Below are 24,067 nucleotides of genomic sequence, written 5' to 3' on the forward strand. Positions count from 1 at the left end.
TACCTATTTATTTTTGAGACGGAGTCTCGCTCTGTCGCCGAGGCTGGAGTGCAGTGGCGCGATCTGGGCTCACTGCAACCTCCCCCTTCCGGGTTCAAGCAGTTCTCTTCCTCAGCCTCCCGAGTAGCTGGGATTATAAGCGCCCGCCACCACGCCCGGCTAATTTTTTTTGTATTTGTAGTAGAGACGGGGTTTCACCATCTTGGCCAGGCTGGTCTTGAACTCCTGACCTCGTGATCCACCTGCCTTCCTCCCAGAGTGCTGGGATTACAGGCGTAAACCACCGTGCCCGGACTCCTACCGGATTATTATATTGTGCCCGAGACAGGCTCAGCAGGCCCCTTTAAGTGATTTTTCAAACCACAAATCTTGGCTCACGCCTGTAATACCCGCACTTTGGGAGGCCGAGGTGGGCGGGTCACCTGAGGTTGGAGCTCGAGACCAGCCTGTTCAACATGGTGAAACCCCGTCTCTACTAAAAATACAAAAATTAGCCCGGTGTGGTGGCGCGGGCCTGTAATCCCAGCTACACGGGAGGCTGAGGCAGAAGAATCACTTGGATTCGGGCGGTGGAGGTTGCAGTGAGCCAAGATCGTGCCACTGCACTCCAGCTTGGACAATAGAGTGAGACACTCCCTTGATTAAAACCCTTCAATGGTCTGCTTTTAGGATTTAGTACAAATTTCTCAATCCTGCCTTCAACGCCCTGACCATCTGTGCTCATTCATCCATACCTTTTAAAAATACGTCTTGGGCCGGGCGTGGTGGCTCATGCCTGTAATCCCAGCACTTTGGGAGACCAAGGTGGGGTATCACCTGAGGTCAGGAGTTGGAGACCAGCCTGGCCAACATGGTGAAATCCTGTCTCTACTAAAAATAGAAAAATTAGCTGGGTGTGGTGGCGGGCACCTGTAATCCCAGCTTCTCGGGAGGCTGAGGCAGGAGAATCGCTTGAACCTGGGAGGTGGAGGTGGCAGTGAGCCGAGATCGTGCCATTGCACTCCAGCCTGGGCAACAAGAGCAAAACTCCATCTCAAAAAAAAATCTCGAAACCTCAGCCCATTTGCATGTGCTATTCTGTCCGGAAAACTCCTTTCCCCTCACTTTTACCTACTATCTCTGAGTTTCCAGGATCTCTTCCCTCTTCCTCTCTCCCCAGACTAAAATTGGTTACCTGTTAGATGCTGCCATGGCACCAGGTGCCATGGTACCTTTCCCTTAATAATGAATGGTTGGTAACCATATGTCCATTTGTGTAATTATTTGAATGCTGTCTCCTTCACTAATGTTTTTCAAACGTCTTTGACCTTGCCTCACAGAGAAATACCTTTTACATTATATATGATGCTCTGTGATACAATTGCTGATTTTATTCTATTATTGTGTACATGTACACAAAATGCTGATCGTAGCTTACTAGTCCGTTATATGACTAGAATGTGAAAAAACACTGTTCTGGAGTGTAATCTGTCATCGGTTTTGTTCTCTATTTTATCTCCAACCTCTAGTCTAGGGTAGATGCTCAACACATGTTTGATTTTGAACAAAAGATACAGGTTAGAGGCAGTGGAAAAGTTGAAGATGTTATGCTTATCAGATTTACTTAATGAATTTAAACCTCAACCCCTCATTAGCTGTAATGGCCTTGAGCGTGTTAACTTCTGTATTTTCATCTTTGAAAGGGGGAATTATACCTACCCTTGCAGAGGGGACAAGTTTGCAGTACAGCACCTAAGCAGCTCTTCAACAAATGTAGGTTCCCTTCTACTACTATCCATATTTATGGTGCCAGGCACTTGGGAGTTGCCCTAGACATCCACCTTTCTTCACATTCCACACAACTTTGTTGCTTCCCTTGTCTTAAAAAAGGTTCTGGAGGAAAATTCTTGGTTCTCCCCTTCCCCACCCTCAGCCATGACTATTGTGAAAAGGTTCCTTTTCCGAGGATTAAATTCAAACTTCTGCTTGGCTCATGTGGTCTCATGCCCACCCCAGCCCATCTTTCTAGATTCAGTCATGCTACTCTCCTGCTACAAGGAACCCTCCTCATTCCTTATCTCTGCTGCCTCCAGTATCTGGCCCTTGCTCTCTGCCAGGCAAATTCTACTCTTGTATGATCCAACCCACATGTCACCACCTTAGCTTTCCAGGGCTCTCTTCTCCCTTCCCAAGTATTCATTCAATTTGTGAATGTTTATTAAGCTACTTTTTCACGTTCAGCACTGGGATAGAGAAAATGAGCAGGCTCAGTTCTGCCTACCTGGAACTCACTGGCAATTAAGCATGTATTCATTCTGCCCTTTTTGAGGATCTGCTCTGAGGCAGGCACTTGGGGGTATTCCATAAACAGTACTCACCTCAAAGTTGTTTACAGGCTGGTGCCTCTCCCCCACCTCCATTTTGATCTTGCCTCTTTTTCAGCACGTACTCTCAATGTACTGTAATTAATTGTGGCTTTCTCTAGCTCCTGCAGACCTGAAGTGCAAGAGCCTGCTCTACCTTACTGATTTTTAGATTTCTAACTTCTGGGGCTGGTCTTTTGTCATTGATGTAACAAATATCTCCTCCACAGTGGTCCAGACCCAATCTTTGTCCAGGCTGGGGCTTTCAAAGATGATAAAGAGGGGTTGGGTGGGATCACAAAGAAATCTTGCGCAAATATACCTTGAACTAACATATATTGAAAAAAGCAGGACCTAACATTTCAAACTCACTGAAAATGGAGAAATGAGATGGTAAACTTTTTGGGCTTAGAGGTGTAGAAGCAGGAACTCTTAGGTAGGTGGGAAGGCTGCTCTGTCTAGTTGGTCTCTGCACTCAATGCAACCCAGGCTGGGTCTGGAGTCATTTACCCTCCTTGCCCTCTCCCCAGCTTTTCCTACTCTTGCCAAGAGGGAGAAACCAAGGAGCTCTGGTCATCAGGTCACCATCTCAAGGCCTGCCGAGCTGTGGCCTTCTCTGAAGATGGGCAGAGTGAGTACTGGGGAAGACAACCAGCAATGTGGTGGAAGGGAGCAGTGAGCAGCACCATGACCTGGGCACCTTTTCCCCAGAGCTCATTACTGTCTCCAAGGACAAAGCCATCCATGTTCTAGATGTGGAGCAGGGCCAACTGGAAAGACGTGTTTCCAAGGCTCATGGGTAAGGAGAGCAGCCAATTCTGTGTATGTGCATGGAGGTGAAGGGTAAGGACCAGGAGGTCCCCACTGGGACAGAGATGCTCCAAGAAGTTCTACATCTGTGTCTCTAGTGCCCCCATCAATAGTCTTCTGCTGGTGGATGAGAATGTTCTGGCCACTGGGGATGACACAGGTGGTATCTGTCTCTGGGACCAGCGGAAGGAGGGCCCCTTAATGGATATGAGGCAACATGAAGAGTACATCGCAGACATGGCTCTGGATCCAGCCAAAAAGCTGCTGCTGACAGCCAGGTACAACTTCAAAGCTGCCTTGCCTCCCCTCCCCTCCCTGTGTGAAATGTCTTCCTCAAATAGACCTTGCGTCTAAGCCTACTGCTCTACTCTCTACAGCGGGGATGGCTGCCTTGGCATCTTCAACATTAAGAGGCGTCGGTTTGAGCTGCTCTCAGAACCTCAGTCTGGGGACCTGACCTCTGTCACTCTCATGAAAGTACAGCTGGTTATGGTGGGATGGAGGGGTGTGTGCTGGGGGCTTAGTCTGAGGCAGCTTCCACATTGTTTTCTCTATTTCCCTGCAGTGGGGGAAGAAGGTAGCCTGTGGCTCCAGTGAAGGTACCATCTACCTCTTCAATTGGAATGGCTTTGGGGCCACAAGTGACCGCTTTGCCCTGAGAGCTGAATCTATCGACTGCATGGTTCCAGTCACCGAGAGTCTGCTGTGTACTGGCTCCACTGATGGAGTCATCAGGTGAGGGAAGCCTGGACAGCCCTTAGGTCACAGGAAGGGCAGACCCAGCTAGCCAGTACTCAACACTGTTCTTTCCCTGCCCAGGGCTGTGAACATCCTACCGAACCGAGTGGTGGGCAGTGTGGGCCAGCACACTGGGGAGCCTGTGGAGGAGCTGGCCCTCTCCCACTGTGGCCGCTTCCTGGCCAGTAGTGGCCATGACCAGCGCCTCAAGTTTTGGGACATGGCCCAGCTGCGAGCTGTGGTGGTGGATGACTACCGTCGGCGCAAAAAAAAGGGAGGACCACTGCGGGCTCTGAGCAGCAAGACTTGGAGCACCGATGACTTCTTCGCAGGACTGAGGGAAGAGGGAGAAGACTCCATGGCTCAGGAAGAAAAGGAGGAGACTGGGGATGACAGTGACTGAAGGAATGAATTGAATCTTGAGACGGGTCCTCACCAGGCAAGAGTCTTGCTTATTGGGCTGCATCCCCAGAGAGGATATGAATTATTTTTTGAAAAGACAGGGTTTTGCCATCGTCCAGGCTGGAGTGCGCTGGCTTGATCTTGGCTCACTGCAGCCTCAATGTCCCCAGGCTCAGATTGTCCTTCCACCTTAGCCTCTGGAGCAGCTGGGACTACAGGTGTGCACTACCACACCAGGCCAATTTTTGTTTTTTTTTTTTGGTAGAAACGGGTCTGTTTTGCCCAGGCTGGTCTTCAACTCCTGGACTCAAATGATCCACCTGCCTCTGCTTCCCAAAGTGCTGGGATTACAGGCACGAGCCACCACACCTGGCCAAAAAAATTTATATTTTTTGAGACAAGGTCTCACTCTGTCACCCAGGCTGGAGTACAGTGGGTTGATCATGGCTCACTGCATCCTTGACTTCCTGGGCTCAAGTGATCCACCTCAGCCTGCCTGGTAGCTGAGACTTAACAGGCATCTGCCACCATGCTTGACTAATTTTTGTGATTTTTTTTTGGTAGAGACCAGGGGTTTCACTATGTTGACCAAGCTGGTCTTGGAACTCCTGGGCTCAAGTGATCCTCCTGCCTTGGCCTCCCAAAATGCTGGGATTACAGGCATGAGCCACTGTGCCTGGCTGGATATGAAATTTTTTTTTTTTTTTTTTTTGAGACAGGGTTTCGCTCTTGTTGCCAGGGCTGGAGTGCAATGGCGTGATCTTGGCTCACTGCAACCTCCGCCTCCCGGGTTCAAGCAATTCTCCTGCCTCAGCCTCCCAAGTAGCTGGGATTACAGGTGTCTGCCACCATGCCAGGCTAATTTTTGTATTTTCAGTAGAGACGGGGTTTCTCCATGCTGGCCAGGCTGGTCTCGAACTCCTGACCTCAGGTGATCCACCCGCCTCAGCCTCCCAAAGTGCTGGGATTACAGGCAAAAGCCAACACACCCGGCCTGGATATGAATTTATAATACCCTACAGTGCAACACAAGAAGATGCACTCAAAGCACTGATGTGAGGAAGTACTTGCCCCGTAGCAGCTATTCACTCTACCAGTGTAAACAAACTCTAAGCTAGGGCAAGACAGCACAGACACAAGTATATACTAACCAGGGGTTTAATATAAATACAACCAGCATAGAAAGACCCAAAACTATACAGAAACCAAAACCAGAATGCCATGTGGTGGAGGCAAAGGGCAGAATTTCTGACCCCTTTGGCTCAGCTGCCCTTCCCCACAAATAAAAACCAACAAAGAGGACAAATCAGGACAATAAAGAAGATTCATGCTAAGCTGTGGCAGAGGGGGGAAGGTATGATCGGGTGGGGGTGGGACAAGGAACGGCCATGGAAGATCACTGGGTCAGGTTGGACCCTGGGCTGGGAGCGGGAGGGCAAGGCCCCTCACCACAACTTAACCCAAACCTAAGCTGCCCCCAGGTGCCATAGGTCCCTGTCCCAGCAGGGAGGCTGATGGGCCTGGGCCCATGCCCCTCCCCACCTTTGGGGGTCAGAAAGTGGCCACCCAGGCCTGCTGGGATGGGGCCTGACACAGGCTCTGCATGCCCATTCAGGGTGCCTGTGGAGAAAGAATGGAGTCACTGTTTAACCATGGTACCTGCCTCAGCCCCAGCAGACCACAGGAGGTTGGCCCCAGACTCACTGAGTGCCTGCAGCAGCCGTACAGACACAGCATCCTTGGCCACCTCATGCCCATCCCGGCCATCTAGGGTCAGCACAACCCAGATGAGGCCGCTGAAGGGCACCGGATGCCCAGGAATCACCACCTGGTACCAGAAGCGGTGCCAGCCAGCAGGTCCTATGCCCAAACACTTGGTGAGGAACACAGGGCTGCCCAGCTTCATTCGTTGGCACAGCAACTGCAGGGTAGCCCGAGCCCCTTGGAACCCTAACTTGTCCCTTGCCAAAGCCAACTGGCTGCCCTCTGGCTGTGGGGACCGCAAGAAGGGACCCACAAGCTGCTGGCGAAGTCGCTGCTTCAGGTCTGGCTTGAGCCACTCCACAGCCACCTGCTCTCCACAGAGGTGTGACTGCCCTGTAGGAAAAATGCAAAGACAAGGGCAGGTCTAAACCCTGGGCCCAAGCCTCCAGGTGGTGAGCCCTTTGGAGCTACACAGTCCTGTTATTTGTAGCCTTCCCATTTCCTGGTAGTGTGACCATGGGTAAGAAAAGACAATGAAGCCTTCAGCCTCCATTATTTGCAAAGGGAGTATAACACACTGCTACCTTACAAGTTTCCTTGGAGAAGTACTGGTTAATTGCAGGCTTTGTCTGCCTCATAACCATCATAATGGCTAATCTTTACTGGGAAAACTTGCTGTAAGTCAGTCAGTGTGCTAAGTACCGTACACCCATTATGTTACTTAATTCTCATAACAGTCTGAGGAAACAGATTCTATAGTAGTAAAAAGCTCAGTTGGATTCCCTTGAGCAAATCAATTTCTCTAACAGTTTCCTCATAGCTTGAGGGTCCTGTGCCTATTTTGCGGTGTGGGGGTGGGGGAAGGTTGAGAATTAAGTCAGGAGGTAATGCTCGGGAAGTGTCACAAATTTAGGTAAGCGGTGGTGGTAGCACCATTGGAAGTTTTAAAAATCTGAGATCAAATAGTAAAAGGTTGCAAATTCTGGCATGTTTGACTCTAAGATCTTGTAACTTTAACAGCTATGCTCAGTATAAAGTGCCGGGCAGAACGCGTTTGGCCCCAACCAGCACCCCCGCCCCAGCCTACCTTCCACCAGGGCCTTTTTGGCCATGGCAGCGGCCCGGTGCGAGCTGAATTTGAGCAGAGCGATCTGCCCGGGCGCCGGTCCGGGGCTGGGCAGCAGCCGCGCCTCCTGCAAGCCGGGACCCAGCGGCTGCAGCGCGAGCAGCAGCGCGCTGCGGGTCAGATTCGGCGGCAGGCCGTCAACGCTCAGCTCACACTTCTCGGTGCTGCGGCACACGAGCAGCGGGCAGGACGGCCGCAGCGGATGGTTGTGCAGCGTGGCGATGGCGGCCTGCGCGCCGCGCCTCGAGCTGTAGCGGGCATAGGCGAAGCCGCGGTTCAGGCCGCTGAAGGTCATCATCAGGCGGAACTCGTAGAGGCGGCCCACGCGCTGGAACAGCGGGATAAGCTGGTGCTCGTACACGTCCTGAGGCAGCCGCCCGATGAACACCTCTGACCCAGCTGGCGGCGGGCTGCCCACCCAGCCTGTGGGAAGAGGGTATGCAAGGCCACCGTCAGGCGACGCTTTCGAATTCTGAGCCCACGGACCCAGCGCGCGGGGGTGGGAGGCGATGTGAACAAAGGTCTGTGAAATGGGTTTACACCCGTACCCTGGGTGGTTGGCATAATTAGGTGACTGCGCTAACAAGGGGGCTGGCACAGAGTAGGTACACCTTGAGATTGGCCCCCTCCCTCGACGGGGCGGGTGGACGTGGAGCCACAGTTCCTCCTTTGCTGGGGGGTATAAATCCGGGTAGTTCGCAGTTTCTGACAGTGAAGGCTCGGAGCAGCCCCTCCCCCAAAGGGGGCTGGTGTAGCCGGACAGGCGGAGGGGCTGGGACTACCGTACCTGGGGGTGGCCCGCCATACTTCCTCTGCCCGTTCACCTGCACCAGGCGGATGCCTGTCTCCCTGACCCACGCCTCCAGCGCCGCCTTGTTCTCTGGATTCACCCTCTCACACCACAGCTGAGAGGGAAAGGAAGGTTGGAATGGCGGATCGCCAAGCGCGCCCCCACCTCTCCTGTGGTACTGGGGTCCCTAAAGCCGACCCCCGCTCCGGCGGGGCTCGCCGGCCCCCAAGTCGCCAGCCGCTTACCTCACAATCCCGCTTGGACTGCATGGCTCTCCAGCTGGCCCCCTCGTACCCTCTTTATAACTTCCTCCCCACCGGCCTCTGGAAGCTTCCCTACCCCTCCACCCCGCAAGCTCTCATTGGCTCTGAGCGCGACCCCGCCTCCCAGGGGGGTGGAGGTATCCACTGCACGTGCGCCGCCCGGGCTTCGCTCAGACCTTCAGGTGAAAGCTGCAAAGTCGCGGGTGCGTATGTACGGGGGCTGCCTCCCGAGGAGGAGCTCCCAAGCCGCAGGGTGGACGCTGGAGACAAGAACCTCAGGGTCACAAGTTTACTGTTTTTCTCCCTTTTCCATCCCTACATTGGTCTGCTGGGGAAGGCGGGGCTAGGCATCACTGACACACGCAGACTCCGTGGTTGAGGCATTTTATTGGACCTTTGGCAATTGGTGGTGGGGAGGCATCTGCTCCAACTGGTGCGGGGCCCTGCAGATGGGACCATCTCAGGCTGGGTCCTTGTAGCCCAGGAGCACAGACTGGACTAAGCCTCCTGGGCCTTGTATGAAAAAGGTGTTGTACCTGGCCGTTTTTGCCAGTAATAATCAATAAAATAACCATAATAAAAATCAAAGGCTCTGTTCTGACCACTCTTCAGGTCTTCCGCTGAAACGGAAAAGTGCAAAGCAATTGAAGTACATATGCAGTTTGTCTTAACCTCAAATAGTGCCAGTCCCACTTCCTTTCCTCTGATAGTTTGTTCAGTTCAGCAGATGCAGAGGGGCTGGCCTGTTCTCCTTTTGATTTCCTCCACAAGGTCTTCTCTTCGGACATCCACCTGGCCAGGATGGGAGAAGAAGGTGGTATAAGCATCTTCCATTCCACTGCTCCCCGAGTGCCTAGTTTCCTCTAGCCCTCTAGGCATCAGGCTTGTCTCAGCTGGGAGCAGGAACCTAATTAAACACCTCAGGCTAGAGTGTGCCTCTTGGGGGAGCCAACAAACCATAAGGTATATGCAGGGATGGAGATCTCACCCTACTAAGACCACAGTAACAGGTTAAGCCCTCAAGGCTTTTATGAGTTGTACTAATATCAATGCCAGGCTTTTTCTCAGGTCTTGAATGGGCATGGGCCTGCCAAAATGGCATACATTCTCTGTCCCTTAGCCTTCCTGCCCACCTCCCTCACCTCTTCCCTGCTCGTCACTGAACGGAGCTTGATGACCCCATCCTTGAGTTCCTGCTCGCCGATGATAGCCACCAGTGGGATGCCTGCCTCCTCACAGTACTGTAACTGGTTCAGTAGCTTTGGGTTCTTCTTGTACAGCAGCTCAGCCTGCAGGGGACAAGAGCAGAAGATGAAGGCTGGCTTCTGCTGTCCTCAGGGACAGAGGGTGTCCAAGCTGGCACCCTGTTCTTAGCTCTACTTTTGAGAAGTAATGGCAGGATCCATTATGGGTGAGCTTTTATTCAGTTTGTGTCCAGCACACCTAAGTTTGCTGCCACCCTGGGGCTTGCCTCCCATACCTTGATCCCAGCATCCCACAGTTCTGAGACAAGCTTTAGTCTTTCCTCTAGCAGCTTCTTCTGTGCAGATGCCACAAGCACCTGTGTCTCCGTGGTCCGTATCTTCTCCTCCAAAGCCTGGGGAAGGGGCAGATAAAAGAGAGCTGGGCTAACACCTTCAAGGAGCAAACAAAGCAGGCTCTAGTCGGGATTTTGAGACCAGGCCCAACTCAGCTCTACCAGGGCAGGGGCCCTGTCTTCTCATCTAGCACCTTGGGCATAAAGGTAGCTTTTAGTAGATATGAGGACTGAACTGACTGACTTGTACATAGGACGTATCAGAATAAATAACTTAGGGCAAGAGTAAAGGTAGCTTTTTTACAGTAACTTCAAGCTTATCTCCATGTAGTACCTTTTTTTTTTTTTTGAGACAGGGTCTCTGTCATCCAGGCTGAAGTGCCGTGGTGTGATCACTGCAGCTTCGACCTCCCAAGCTCAAGTGATCCTCCCACCTCAGCCTCCTGACTACAGGCACACACCACCATACTCAGCTAATTTAAAAAAAAAAAAAAATTTTTTTTTTTAATCTGTAGAGACAGGGTCTCATCATGTTGCCCAGGCTGGTCCATGTAGTACCTTAAGGGTCCACCAAAGCATTCACACAGAAGTACTACTATGAGCCCACCCCAATTAGATCACCCTTGACAGTTTTAGTCCCCACTTACTATCTACCCATTTATGACACTGTGCCTCTCACACTTCAGTTACAGGGCACAGGCGTGTATATGGGTGTGGGGAAAGGAGAATGCTGCTGCTGCTTCCCTTGTCTTTTTCAGGAAAACTATTTTCATAGTTCTTAGAATGTAAGATGCCTACTGGAAAAATGATCTCAACTGGGAAATGGGTGGTTTCCACCCTAGAGAAAAGGCATAGGACTGTGGGGAGGTTGCCAGAGCATTTCCCAGAAGATGAAATGCAACCAGCCACTTAAGACCAGCAGCAACAAAGGAGGGCTTGAGGCTACAAGAGGCTTCCTTGGTGTTACTCTAGGTGCTAGAGAGTCACGGTAGCCATCTGAGGGATCCCAGGGCCTCAGACACATGCTTCCCATTTAGAGACAGTATTGCAGTGTGGTTAGTGGCAAGACTTTGGAGTCAGACTGCCTGGATTCAAATTCTGACCCTACCACTTACAAGTTTCATGGCCTTAAGCAAATTATTTGATCTATAATGCTTCAGTGTTCTCATCTGGAAAATGCAATTAATAAAATTAGCTACTCTCACAGGGCTGTAGTAACAATTATATTTTGATAATGCATGAAAAGCACCAAGCACAGTGCCTGGCACAAGGCAGTAAAATGTTAAGTATTCCGTATCATGAGGAAGATCTAAGTCTTGGATACACCAGCCCAGGTTTGTGACAGCCCTGAAGGAAGTAGAGACCCAGAGCAGAGGATTGAGTGCAGAAAGATTATGGATTAAAGATCCATAAAACTTACATATAATGGGGTAGAAATCTGTGAAAAAGAGCAATAATCTTTTCTCCATTTCTGTGAGATGCTCCCTGCCCAAAGCAGCACCACTTGCTCCCTTGGAGATCAGATAGCTTAGGTGCCACCACCTGCTCAGACTATCTTCTACCTACCTCCTAGGACCTACCTCTAGTCTCTGTTCCACGATGGAGAAAATCCGCTCCACCCCAATGCTGAGCCCCACACATGGCACCTTGCGCCCTTTGGGGTCGAACATGCCCACTAGCCCATCATAGCGTCCTCCAGCAGCCACACTGCCCACACCCAGGGGCTCTTCCCCTGCCTGGGCTGGGGTCTGTAGCAGCACTGCCTCATAGATCACCCCAGTGTAGTAATCCAGCCCTCGAGCAAGGCTCAGGTCAAAGGAGATCTGTGGAGATAAGAAAATGGTCAGTGCCAGATTAAGATCAGGGACCTGAAGCCCCAGAGCTCAGAAGGGATCCCGTCCCCAACTTGACTCACTTTGTCATCAATGCCAAATAGGGTCAGGTACTCAAAGAGCAACTTCAGGTCTCCCAGGCCCTCCAAGGCCTGCTTGTTTTGGGATAGTTTAGGATCCTGGAGCAGCTGTTCCACCAGGGATACCCCACCTGGGGAGACAGACTTGTGAGTGAGGCTGACAAGGAAACAAAAAAGGTAAGGAGGGTTGACCTTCTTGCCTGGACTCTAGTCGCCCATGCATGTGTGTGTACATATGCATAGACACACTCACTCCCCTACATACATAACACAGAACAGTTTCAACTTTAGGACTGAGGGCAGTGGGACGGCTGCTGGGGAGGCTTGGTTCTGTTCCTCACCATGTTGCTGGACATAGTCCCCAATGCGGTCAGCCACCTCAGGTGCAAGGCCCTTCTCTCCCACCATCTCATTCTTCACCTCTTCCCAGGACACCTAGGCAGACAGACACCAGTCAGGGACCCCTGGGCAGCTTCCGCACCACAGAGCAAGTGTGTACTGTCCTCGGGGAACCGTTTTAGAGCAGTAGCTGCCCATGAGCCTACATCCTGGGGCTAACCTTCCTCTGGTGGGTATAGAGGCATGCACCTCTCTCTCTCTCAATCTTGTTTTCCATTTCCCAAGGCAGGGTGGGATCTGGGAAAAGAAGTCAAGTACTTGGGTTGTTACCTTGTCCAGCTTGTCTACTGAGGAGCAGATGGTACGGAACTTGCTGTCAGAAACACCACAGATAGCAAACATCCCATCTAGAATGCGTCGATCGTTTACCTGCAAGGAACCAATGCATAGTGAGGGGGGAATCTCTTTTCTTACATGACCTGCAATAGTCATGGTCACTTAGGCTACTGGTCCCTCTGCACAAGGATCTTCTCTTGTGAGAGGCCAGGCCCAACTTTGCCCTCCCAGCCTTGTCAGCTCTGACCTTGACCAGGAAGTCGCCTATCTGAAGTGAACTCAGGATCTCGCACATGATCTTCAGGCACTCTGCATCAGGGATCATGGGATCAAAGTTCCCAGCAATGTCAAAATCCTGCAGGGAGAGGGTTAGCCAGCGGTCTTCAGGGATTCACCTTTCTGAAGGGGGGACTCTGGGAGCTCTGTCCTCTAGGAAGGCCTGGTTGCACTCAAGCATAGAATTTCTCTTTCATTTTCTGATCATCAGCCCAGAGGTAAACCCCGGCATCTTTGGGCTTCTCACCAGTTTTGGTTTCCTTTCCATCTACTGGGCTATTCCTTCATTTTCTACTTCATCATCTTCTTAACTCCTCCTACTGGATGGGGTGATTATATGGCTTTAGTGCTTAGCCATTTTCCCTATTCATCCAGAAGCCCTGGCATCAGTCTGGATGATTTGATGTATCAAAGCTAATTTCCTTATTCTCTGCTGTGATCCTATCACTGTGGTTTAAAATAAAGAGCACTGGACCAAGAGTTCTAGTCCTGACTTTGCCTTTCTTATCCCTATGATCTCTTCATGGGCTGGGTATCAAGTTTACTCATATGTAAAATGAAGAGACTTTATTCTCCTCCCCCACCACAGGGATTTTGTGAAATCTGCATGAAAACACCATAGAAGAGGCTGGGTGCGGTGGCTCACGCCTGTAATCCCAGCACTTTGGGAGGCCGAGGCAGGCGGATCATGAGACCAGGAGTTCGAGACCAGCCTGGCCAACATGGTAAAACCCCGTCTCTACTAAAAATACAAAAAATTAGCCGGGCATAGTGGCAGGCGCCTGTAATCCCAGCTACTCAGGTGGCTGAGGCAGAAGAATCGTTTGAACCCAGGAGGCAGAGGTTGCAGTGAGCCAAGACTGCACCACTGCACTCCAGCTTGGGCAACAGAGCGAGACTCCGTCTCAAAAAAACAAAAAACAAACAAAAAAACCACCATAGAAACCCTAAGAGCATTATCTGGGTCATCCAATTTGCTCAGGACACCGTGAGTACTCAATAGATTCTGCTGGCTTGAGAGAGCCCCAAGTAACTCATCCTGCCCCACGGTTTCCCAACACTCACACACTGGTAGAATTCCCGGTATCGGCCACGGGTCATGGCTGGGTTATCCCGCCGATATACCTTTGCTATGTGGTAGCGTTTAATGTTGGTCAGTTTATTCATTGCCAAATACCGAGCAAAAGGAACCTGATGACAAAGAGTTAAGGAGAAAGCCCCTCCTATCACTGTCTGCAAGTTGATTATCATCACCAACAGAAGCTGGGGTCTAACCCCTCCCTATGTGGGTAAAACTGCCACCCATAAGATTAATAGCACTTACAAACATCAGAAAGCATCAGCTGTGCTACCACATGAGGTAGCTGAAGGCTCAAAAAAGATTAAGGCACCTTTCCCTTTTGTAGTGTTGACTGGACTTTTTTGAGCATGGCAAGGGGCTGGGCAGGTTGGCCACAGACCAGAAAAAGGCGACCAGAAAAAGGCCCCCATATGGGATTTCTAAGCAGATGATTCTCTGTGTAGCTTGGAGACAAGGGAAATGTGTTGCTAGTCCATTAAGAAGAATTTTGTTCACTGGACAGGGCAGGGGAGAGGTATTCTGGAGCCAGGGGATGACTGTAGAGTTGGAACTGGGCCCTGACATCAAGCTGAGGTCTCACTCAGGATTCAGAAGATTTCTAAGGATGTGTATGCTCTGTTTAGCCAAAGTTCCACTCCTGGTTTAGAGAAATAATTCCCCTAATCGCCAAAGGCCTCATATTTGATCCTACCTACTCTACCATTCTTAAACCTGAGCCAAGTGAGTGCCAATCCATCCAAAGTCTCAAGAGCCCAAGTTTAGAAAGATACAGTGAGGTCATAGCGAAGGGACAGGAGCTCCCCGCCCTGGTCCTTCAGGTCATAGATAAGCTTGGAGTCTTCCCCATACTTTCCCATCAGTGTTTCCTGGAGAAAACATAAATAAATGTGGTCATAATAATAAACATAACAATTTAAAAGGAAGTTTTGAAAACAAACATGACTGATTCCAACTTGTCTACATTTCCCTCTGCTCTTTATCCCAATTCTTAGGTGTCTGATGTAGTTATCATTAAAAGGAAACACCAATTTTGTGTTTTTTTCTATTTTGATTTTGTAACAGAGCTGAAGTATTTTTCTTACACATTTTCCTCTTAAAAATCTTTTTTTTCTTCAGACTTCTCAGCATGAAGTTTGTTTTTTTTTTTTGAAATGGAGTCTCGCTCTGTCACCAGGCTGGAGTGCAGTGGCGTGATCTCGGCTCACTGCAACCTCTGACTCCGGGGTTCAAGAGATTCTCCTGCCTCAGCCTCCAGAGTGGCTGCGACTACAGGCGGGTGCCACCATGCCCGGCTAAGTTTTGTATTTTTAGTAGAGACAGGGTTTCACCATGTTGGCCAGGATAGTCTCGATCTCTTGACCTCGTGATCTGCCCGCTTCAGCCTCCCAAAGTACTGGGATTACAAGTGCGAGCCACAGCGCCCGGCCTGAAGTGTTTTTAAAAGATGCATAAATTCCAGTGAGAAGAAGCTCTGTACTTACTTCCTCCCTCATGTTATACTGTTAGGTGTTTAGGTTATTCTAATTTAAAAAAAAATTTTTTTAGGCCAGGCATAGCGGCTCACGCCTGTAATCCCAGCACTTTGGGAGGCCAAGGCGGATGGATCACCTGAGGTCAGGAGTTCGTGACCAGCCTGGCCAACATGGTGAAACCCTGTCTCTACTAAAAATACAAAATTAGCTGGGGGAGCTGGTAGGCATCTAATCCCAGCTATTCGGAGGCTTAGGCAGGAGAATCGCTTGAACCCGGGAGGCAGAGGGTGCAGTGAGCAGAGATCGCACCATTGCACTCCAGCCTGGGTGACGAGAGTGAAACTCTGTCTCAAAAAAAAAAAAATTCCCCATAACATTTCAATATCTAATATTTAGGTATATAGCTCTTTTTTTTTTTAAAAAAAAGTATTTTTCTTGATGATAAACTACTAGGAATAGGTTATCAGACCAATAAACATAAATGTTTTTTGATGCCTGAGATTCGAATAATGTCAAAAGTAAAAACTGGGGAATGTCTTAAGGGCATTACAGCAGTCCTTGCCCTGTGATGTCTATCATCGGTAATAGCATATTTCACTTACCAGGTTGGCAAAGATTAAAAAGCCTGAAACTTCCCAGTATGCAGTATCAGAAACAGTAACACACTAGTGTTACGGGCTGAACTGTGTCCCCCTGGCCCCACCCTCCCCAATTCATTTGTTTAAGTCCTAACTCCCAGTAACCTCTGAACATGTCTACATTTGGTGATAGGGTCTTTAAAGAGATGATTAAGCTAACATGAGGTCTCCAAGTTGGGCTCTGATCCAATATGTTGTTGTAAGAAGAGAAAATTTAGATAGGGACAGAGGGAAGACGATGTAAAGACAAAGGGAGGCTGGGCGCGGTGGCTCATGCCTGTAATTCCAGCACTTTGGGAGGCTGGGGTGGGCGAATCACTGGAGGCCAGGAATTCAAGACCACCAACCTGGTCAACATGGTGAAACCTCGTCTCTACTAAAAATAGAAAAATTAGCCAGGTGTGGTGGCACACGTGTTGTAATCCCAGCTACTTAGGAGACTGAGGCAGGAGAATCGCTTGAACCTGGGAGGTGGAGTTGCAGTGAGATGAGATGGTGCCACTGCACTCCAGCCCAGGCAACAGAGCGAGACTCTGTCTCAATTAAAAAAAAAACAAAGGGAGATGATGGCCATCTACAAGCCATGGAGAGAGGCCTGGAACAGATCCTTCCTTATGGCCTTCAGAAAGAACTAGGCCTGCCAACATGTTATGTCAACTTCCAGCCTCTGGAACTGTGAGAAAATAAATTTCTGTTGTTTAGACTACCTAGTCTATGGTACTTTGTTATGGTAGCCCTAGCAAACTAATACAGTAGGTAAAAACAGTCTCATAAATATGTACAATTAAATATCAATAAAAAGAGACATTGATGAAGGAAACAACAGATAATTTCAGACAGTTTTATAGCCTAAAGGCAATAAACTAGCTCATTGTGATAAGAGAGAGAACAGCTACTTTAAAGAAGGTAGTTGGAGAAGATTACTTGAGGAGTGGCATTTTAGCTGAGCTCTGAAATTAAAATCTGGCTGGCTGGACGTGGTGGCTCATGCCTGTAATGTCAGCACTTTGGGAGGCTGAGGAAGGAGGACCACTTGAGGCCAGGGGTTCGTTCGCAAGCAGCCTGGGCAACATAGCAAGACCTCTGTCTCTATTTGTATTTTTTTTTTTTAAAAAGGAATTAAAATCTGCAGTCTCTAGTATAATCTGAAATAAATCATGCAAAGAGCTAAGGAAAGGGAGTTCAGGAAAGGGGAAGAGCAAGAACAAAGGTGTGGAGGTACAAACACACTGACTATGTTCCAAGAGTAGGAAGAAGACCAGAGTAGCATAGTGGGCAAGAGGAAAAATAGCATGAGATGAGGTAGGAGAGGCAGTGGCCAGATCACCTAGGGCTCTGTAAACCTGAGTAAAGAGTTTGGGTTGTACTATAAGTGCAGTGGGAATCACTGGGTTTGAAGCAGGTAGTAATGCAATCTGGGTTGGCTGGTTTGTTTTAGAGACAGGGGCTTGCTACATTGCCCAGACTGGAGTATGGTGGCTATTCACAGGCACCATCATAGCACACTACAGCCTTGAACTCCTCGGATCCAGTGATCTTTCTGCTTCAGCCTCCTGAGAAGCAGGAACTACAGATGTGCCCAGTTGCAATCTAGTTTTTAATAGCAAAGAACTACTAACAACTTCAGAGTCCATCAATAGGAGAGTGGTTGCATATTTATGTACGTATGGTTTGCATGAATCTAGAAAACATTCCAAGTACAGATGCCACGCAATACAATGTAGAGAGGACCCAGAACAATTACCATTCCAAAGAATGGCTCTCTTTTGGAATCTGCTGGCCACAACCAAGATAATAAAAGACAGGGCCTCTCCCTCCAAGCCATTCTTGTCCCCCTTCTTATTGGAGCAAAGACTGGTCTGTGTCCACAACAGGAGTGGGCCCTTTGGACCCTCACTCTCTTGTTGTCATCTTCTTTGTTATTCAAATGCCCACTCATCTACCATGTAGTTTCTTCTTGCCCATTCCTCACCTTTAGTTCAAATACAGGTGTATCAATGACTTCTGCACCGTGGCGCTTGAAGCAACGGATGATTACGTCAAACACCTTCTCGCGAACTGCCATCTGCCGGGGACTATAGTCTCTTGTGCCCTTGGAGTTGAAATCAGCCAGAGAACCAGAAATGAGGTTTGAAAACCAAGAACAATATGTTTTGGAAATATAAAAGGATGACCTCAATAATGAAAAAGCAAATCCTGCTCTAAACAGATTTTCCTACAGGCCACTGAGTTTTAAAACAAGTACAAATAATTCCCTATTAATTCCCACACCCATTTGCTATCTGCCTTCCAAACTCCATTCCCTTTTAAGTTTGGGTCTATTTTCTAAAATTCTTAGAACTCTTTTCTTTAAGCCATTTTTCTAAACACTCTCTCTCAGATAACAGAACATTTCCTGGCCTAATAACAAACACCTACCTGAGGCCAGGCACAGTGGCTCACGCCTGTAATCCCAGCACTTCGGGAGGCCAAGGCAGATGGATTGCCTGAGGTCAGGGGTTCGAGACCAGCCTGGCCAACATGGTGAAACCTCGTCTCTACTAAAAATACAGAAATTAGCCGGGTGCGACGACACGCCCCTTGTAGTCCCAGCTACTTGGGAGGCTGATGCATGAGGATCCTTGAACCTGGGAGGTGGAGGTTGCAGTGAGCCGAGATTGTGCCACTGCACTCCAGCCTGGGCAACAGAGTGAGACTGTCTCAATAAAACAAACAAATGGTGGTGGCAGGTGCCTGTAATCCCAGCTACTCAGGAGGCTCAAGGCAGGGAGAATCACTTGAACCTGGGAGGCGGAGGTTGCAGTGAGCCAAGATTGCACCACTGCACTCCAGACTGAGAGACAGAGCGAGACTCTGTCTCAAAAACAAAACAAACCAACCAGCCGGGCGCGGTGGCTCACACCTGTAATGCCAGCACTTGGGGAGGCCGAGGCGGGCGGATCACGAAGTCAGGAGATCAAGACCATCCTGGCGAACACTGTGAAACCCCGTCTCTACTAAAAATACAAAAAAATTAGCCGGGCGTGGTGGCAGGTGCCTGTAGTCCCAGCTACTTGGGAGGCTGAGGCAGGAGAATGGCGTGAACCCGGCAGGTGGAGCTTGCAGTGAGCTGAGATAGTGCCACTGCACTCCAGCCTGGGAGACAGAGCAAGACTCTGTCAAAACAAAAACAAAAACAAAAACAAACCCAACCAAACAAACAAAAATAATAACAACAAAAAAATACCTACATGATTATAGGCAATATAACCAACTCAAACTGGCTCAACTAATTGAATTCCAAATTTTATAAGCAACGTTTCTCTCCCAATATAACTTTTCTTTTAAATCTTAGTTACAACTGTTTGTTCTCTAATTTGTTTCTGGTAACAACTCTATGACATAGGCTAGGCAGATAAATTTTACAGATGAAGTACAGGATGTTGAGAAGTTAAGTCATTTCTTAAGGCCATTCAGCATGTTCGTGGCAGTCAGGACTAGAACTGTGTTGTCCTTCCAGGTCAGAGCTTCCAATCTGGGCTTTTATACCCTACTCCAAAGTCTTTGGTTTCAGGACCTCTTTACACTCTTACTATGTATTCAAGACCCCAAAGTGGATTATACCTATCAATATTTACTGTATTAGAATTAGAACGGCAAAAATTTTAAAATATTTATTCATTTAACAAATAACATATGTTAACACAAATAATATATCTATTATATGTTAACGCAAATAATATTTTAGAAAAAGGTAACTGTTTTCCAAAACAATTTAGTGAGAAGAGTGGCACTGATTTACATCTTTGCAAATCTTTAATGTCTGACTGAATAGAAGACAGCAGGATTCTCATATGTGATTTTTGCATTCAATCTGTCGTGATATGTCGTGCTGGTTGAAGTATATAACGAAAATCTAACCTTACACAGATATGTAGTTGTAAAAGGAAGAGTATTTTAACAAACTTTTCAGCTAACTGTGGATATTTTTCTTTGGTACTACATCAGAATCCAACAAGTGGTTGTTTCTTAAAGATTGGTTGCAATGTGGAATTTGAAAGCTAGATCAATGAACTTAAAAAAAAAAAAAAAGAACAATTAGTCTCTCACTTATCTAGTACCTAGAATAGTCAAATCCATAGAGACAGAAAGTAGAAAGTAGGATAGCAGTTACCAGGGGCTGGAGGGAGGGTGAAGTGGGGAGTTATTGTTTAATGGGTACAGAGTTTCAATTGGGGATGATGAAAAAATTCTGGAGGTGGATAATGGTGATGGTTATGAGTATGAATGTACTTCATGTTACTGAACTGTACACTTAAAAATCATTAAAATGGGCTGGGCGTGGTGGCTCACACCTGTAATCCCAGCACTTTGGGAGGCCAAGGCAGGTGGATCACGGGGTCAAGAGATCGAGACTATCCTGGCCAACATGGTGAAACCCCATCTCTACTAAAAAATACAAAAATTAGCTGGGCGTGGTGGCACACACCTGTAGTCCCAGCTACCTGGGACGCTGAGGCAGGAGAATTGCTTGAACCCAGGAGGTGGAGGCTGCAGTGAGCCAAGGTCATGCCACTGCACTCCAGCCTGGTGACAGAGTGAGACTCTGTCTCAAAAAAAAAAAAAAATCATTAAAATGGTAAATTTTATGTTACGTATATTTTCCTACAAAAAAAAATCCACTACTGTATTTTGTACTTTGAATGAATGGATCCTTTGCCTGTGCATGATTTCATAACAGGTCTTTCAAATGTTGATACATTTCATTATACAATATCAGGAAGCCTTATTTATTTACATCACTTCAGATCTCATCAAGAAAGTCTTTTTTTTTTTTTTTTGAGATGGAGTCTCGCTCTGTCACCCAGGCTGAAGTGCAGTGGTGTGATCTCGGCTCACTGCAACCTCCACCTCCCAGGTTCAAATAATTCTCCTGCCTCAGCCTCCTGAGTAACTGGGACTACATACAGGCGCGTGCCACCACGCCCGGCAAATTTTTTGTATTTTTAGTAGAGACGGGGTTCCACCATGTTAGCCAGGATGGTCTTGATCTCCTGACCTCATGATCCACTTGCCTCTGCTTCCCAAAGTGCTTGGATTACAGGCATGAGCCACCTTGCCTGGCCTGTTTTTATTTGTTTGTTTGTTTTTGAGATGGAGTCTCACTCTGTCACCCAGGCTGGAGTACAGTGGCGTGTTCTCGGCTCACTGCAACCTCCACCTCCCAGGTTCAAACGATTCTCCTGCCTCAGCCTCCCAAGGAGCTGGGATTACAGACGTGAGCTACCATACCTGGCTAAATTTTTATTTTTAGTAGAGACAGCGTTTCACCATGTTGGCTAGGCTGGTCTCAAACTCCCGACCTCAGGTGATCCGCCCACCTTGGTCTCTCAAAGTGCTGGGATTACAGGCGTAAGCCACCACACCCAGTAGAAAACTCTTTAATTATTGGGAAGCTGTCAAGCTTATGATGGAAGATGCAAGTTTTCTAAAATTCTTTTTTTTTTTTTTTTGAGATGTAGTTTCACTCGTTGCCTAGGCTGGAGTGCAATGACGCGATCTCGGCTCACCACAACCTCTGCTTCCCAGGTTCAAGCGATTCTTGTGCCTTAGCTTCCCTAGTAGCTGGCATTACAAGCATGCGCCACCACGCCCAGCTAATTTTTAGTAGAGATGGGGTTTCTCTATGTTGGTCAGGTTGGTCTCAAACTCCCGACCTCAGGTGATCCGCCCGCCTTGGTCTCCCAAAGTGCTGGGATTATAGGCTTGAGCCACCATGCCCTGACTAAGTTTTCTAAAATTCTAACTTTCACCTGAATACTTGAATTTTTTCACTGCCTACAAGTACTGTCAGATGTTTTCCTTGAGGTGACGAGGCTCACTTCGTTTATTGTTGTAAAAATGTCTGCCAAATATTTAAGTTTGAAAAACCATAATTTATCTTTCAGTTGTTAATTCAAATAAAACAAGATGTTCTATGAAAAAAGTAGCTAGATCAGCTTGCAACTTGAACAATGGCATAAGCATTTTCCCTACCTTGGCGTGCAGAAGTGCTTTATGTGTACTTCCCATTTTGTCATAGCAAATATTTAAAAATAGGGTCCTCAAGGGTCAAGATTCAATAAAATCAGTAAGTTTTTGGCCAGGCATGGTGGCTCAGCCTAGCACTTTGGGAGGCCAAGGTGGGCAGATTGCCTGAGCTCAAGAGTTCCAAACCAGCCTGGGCAACATGGTGAAACATGTTGTAGGTTTCTTGTATGTTTTTTGTATTTCTGTAAAAATACAAAAAATTAGCTGCATGTGGTGGTACCCGCCTGTAATCCCAGATACTCAGGAGGCTGAGGCACAATAATTGCTTGAACCCGGGAAGTGGAGGCTGCAGTGAGCCAAGATCGTGACACTGAACTCCAGCCTGGGCAACAGAGTGAGATTCTGTCTCCAAAGAAACCCCAAAACAAACAAAGTTTTACCATTTTATCAATGACATAGTTAAGTAAAACTGAATTTTTTAAATTAATTAATTAATTAATTTATTTATTTACTTACTGTGAGTGCATGGCAGTGAAGAACACACTGGCTATTAGTACAGTTTAGTGTCACTGTCTTAATGTATGCTAAGGCACCAGCAGTTCTACTCACCAGCGCTTTTGTGCCTTCAGTGCAAATGTTAACACAACGAAAAAGGCAGATAATGTCTTAGAATTATTATAGAAGGGCCAGGCGCAGTGGCTCACGCCTGTAATCCCAGCACTTTAGGAGGCCGAGGTGGGAGGATCACTTGAGGCCAGGAATTCAAGACCAGCGCAGCCAACACGGTGAAACCCCATCTGTACTAAAAATACAAAAAATTAGCTAGGTGCGGTGGCACATCCCTGTAGTCCCAGCTACTCGGAAGGCTGAGGCAGGACAATCGCTTGAACCCGGGAGGCGGAGGTTGCAGTGAGCTGAGATCACGCCACTGCACTCCAGCCTGGGCGACAGAGCAAGACTCCGTCTCAAACAAAACAAAACAAAACAAAACAAAACAAAACAAAACAAAAGAATTATTATAGAAATAGTTTTGACCATGAAGATCCCTTGAAAGAGTCTTGTCCCCACAATACTGAGTTTTCTATTGTTAATACTAAAATGGATATTAACTCTCTAGCATAATCTTAACACTATAGTATGGAAATTTTCAAAGACACAATATAGAGAATAGTATTACAGGTCACCATTTATCCATTACCCAGCTTCAACAACCATTAACATCTGCTATTCTTATTTCATTTAAGCCCTGACATGTTTTTCTTACATATTTTTAAATAAATCCCAGACGTCATATCATTTCATCCATAAATACTTCAGTATGAATCTCTAACTCATACGGACATTTAAAAAACCCCAAAGACTCTATCTTTATTATAACTAACAAAACTAACAGCAACTCCTTAATATTATCTAATGCTAAGCCATGGTCAGTTTTCCCCAGTTGCCTCAATAATATCTTTTTATGGTTGATTTATTTGAATCAGCTTCAGAATGAAGTCTATGCGTTGTAATCAGCTGATATGTCTATTTAATCTACAATAGTTTCCTTCCCTCCCCAACTTTTTTTTTTTATTTTAAAAAGGTCATTTATTAACTGAGGAAATTGGGCCATTTGTCCTAAAAAAAAATTTTCACATTCTAGATTTGGTGAACAATATGCTTGATGTGCCATCTAACATGTTCCTCCATCTCTAGTATTTCCTGTAAACTGATAGTTAGTCCAAAGATCTGATTAGATTCAAGTTCAATTTACTTGGCAAGAATACTTCCCAGGTGGTGCTGTGTACTTCTTCTTGCATCACATCAGCAGGAACATAATGTCTAGTTGTCCTACTTTTAGTGATGTTAAAACTGATCACTAGTGAGGACAGACTGATCCATCATAAATTCCACAGTAAGCTTTTCATCTAATAGTTTGAAAAATCATTGATGATCACCACTTTGGGATTTTACACTGTCTCTTTAACCTTCAAAAATTAGTTATATGTAGAAAGAAACAGCTCAATGAATTTAGGATCCCAAAGAATTAACCTTAACACAAGGAAAACAGACCATCTCCCCTCTCCTTTGGAATTCAATTTCAAATACATGTATTAAATAGAATCATCCCTCAGTATCCACAGGAGATTTGTTCTGGGCCCCATGTGAATACCAAAAATCCATGGATGCTCAAGCCCTTGACATAAAATTATATGCACATCCTCCTATATACTTTAAATAGTCTCTAGAGTGTTTATAATGCCTTAGACAATGTAAAGGCTATGTAAATAGTTGCTATACTATATTTTTTAT

At 47.4% G+C, this 24,067-nt stretch overlaps 3 protein-coding genes and 1 long non-coding RNA gene across 12 annotated transcripts in view, besides 3 other annotated features; 1 reads left to right on the forward strand and 3 right to left on the reverse strand.

Annotated features, from left to right (window-relative positions):
* Positions 1-76, reverse strand: part of LOC124901088 (uncharacterized) — a 3,027-nt gene extending 2,951 nt beyond the window's left edge. Inside the window, exon 1 of the long non-coding RNA XR_007058968.1 lies at positions 4-76. This is a non-coding gene — a long non-coding RNA (uncharacterized LOC124901088). The remainder of the gene's footprint in view (positions 1-3) is intronic.
* WDR55 (WD repeat domain 55) overlaps positions 1-6,984 on the forward strand; it is a 7,442-nt gene extending 458 nt beyond the window's left edge. Inside the window, exons 2-8 of one of the 3 annotated variants that reach the window (XM_017009600.3) lie at positions 1,683-1,752; positions 2,873-2,973; positions 3,054-3,141; positions 3,251-3,430; positions 3,530-3,629; positions 3,718-3,887; positions 3,972-6,984. In XM_017009600.3, the coding sequence (XP_016865089.1) occupies positions 3,354-3,430; positions 3,530-3,629; positions 3,718-3,887; positions 3,972-4,293 (669 nt within the window). In that variant the 5' untranslated portion in view covers positions 1,683-1,752; positions 2,873-2,973; positions 3,054-3,141; positions 3,251-3,353 and the 3' untranslated portion in view covers positions 4,294-6,984. The remainder of the gene's footprint in view (positions 1-1,682; positions 1,753-2,872; positions 2,974-3,053; positions 3,142-3,250; positions 3,431-3,529; positions 3,630-3,717; positions 3,888-3,971) is intronic. The other 2 variants (XM_005268469.4, NM_017706.5) reach the window with 2 other exon arrangements.
* On the reverse strand, positions 5,433-8,215 carry DND1 (DND microRNA-mediated repression inhibitor 1). The gene is made up of 4 exons (NM_194249.3): positions 8,158-8,215; positions 7,910-8,027; positions 7,084-7,545; positions 5,433-6,389 (listed from the first exon to the last, which is right to left on the reverse strand). The coding sequence occupies exons 1-4, from the start codon at positions 8,179-8,181 to the stop codon at positions 5,932-5,934; spliced, it is 1,062 nt and encodes a 353-aa protein (NP_919225.1). The 5' UTR covers positions 8,182-8,215; the 3' UTR covers positions 5,433-5,931.
* Positions 7,089-7,884: an enhancer, noted in NCBI's record as "H3K27ac-H3K4me1 hESC enhancer chr5:140052035-140052830 (GRCh37/hg19 assembly coordinates)". NCBI's record gives its function as "activates a minimal SCP1, AML or CMV promoter by ChIP-STARR-seq in naive H9 embryonic stem cells {active_cell/tissue: H9 hESC(naive)}" and the evidence as "EXISTENCE:reporter gene assay evidence [ECO:0000049][PMID:30033119]".
* Positions 7,885-8,680: an enhancer, noted in NCBI's record as "H3K27ac-H3K4me1 hESC enhancer chr5:140052831-140053626 (GRCh37/hg19 assembly coordinates)". NCBI's record gives its function as "activates a minimal SCP1, AML or CMV promoter by ChIP-STARR-seq in naive H9 embryonic stem cells {active_cell/tissue: H9 hESC(naive)}" and the evidence as "EXISTENCE:reporter gene assay evidence [ECO:0000049][PMID:30033119]".
* HARS1 (histidyl-tRNA synthetase 1) overlaps positions 8,544-24,067 on the reverse strand; it is a 17,466-nt gene continuing 1,942 nt past the window's right edge. For 2 of the 7 annotated variants that reach the window (NM_001289094.2, NM_002109.6), the window contains exons 3-13: positions 17,739-17,858; positions 14,427-14,522; positions 13,641-13,766; positions 12,547-12,654; positions 12,294-12,392; positions 11,966-12,059; positions 11,628-11,755; positions 11,293-11,535; positions 9,656-9,772; positions 9,318-9,464; positions 8,544-8,967 (exon numbers count right to left, since the gene is read on the reverse strand). In NM_001289094.2, the coding sequence (NP_001276023.1) occupies positions 8,896-8,967; positions 9,318-9,464; positions 9,656-9,772; positions 11,293-11,535; positions 11,628-11,755; positions 11,966-12,059; positions 12,294-12,392; positions 12,547-12,654; positions 13,641-13,766; positions 14,427-14,522; positions 17,739-17,858 (1,350 nt within the window). In that variant the 3' untranslated portion in view covers positions 8,544-8,895. The remainder of the gene's footprint in view (positions 8,968-9,317; positions 9,465-9,655; positions 9,773-11,292; positions 11,536-11,627; positions 11,756-11,965; positions 12,060-12,293; positions 12,393-12,546; positions 12,655-13,640; positions 13,767-14,426; positions 14,523-17,738; positions 17,859-24,067) is intronic. The other 5 variants (NM_001258041.3, NM_001258042.3, NM_001258040.3 and 2 more) reach the window with 5 other exon arrangements.
* Positions 12,694-12,943: an enhancer, noted in NCBI's record as "active region_23284". NCBI's record gives its function as "activates an Ori minimal core promoter by ATAC-STARR-seq in GM12878 lymphoblastoid cells {active_cell/tissue: GM12878}" and the evidence as "EXISTENCE:reporter gene assay evidence [ECO:0000049][PMID:35858748]".

Source organism: Homo sapiens, chromosome 5 (genome assembly GCF_000001405.40).
Source record: "Homo sapiens chromosome 5, GRCh38.p14 Primary Assembly".
Lineage (NCBI taxonomy): Eukaryota > Metazoa > Chordata > Mammalia > Primates > Hominidae > Homo > Homo sapiens.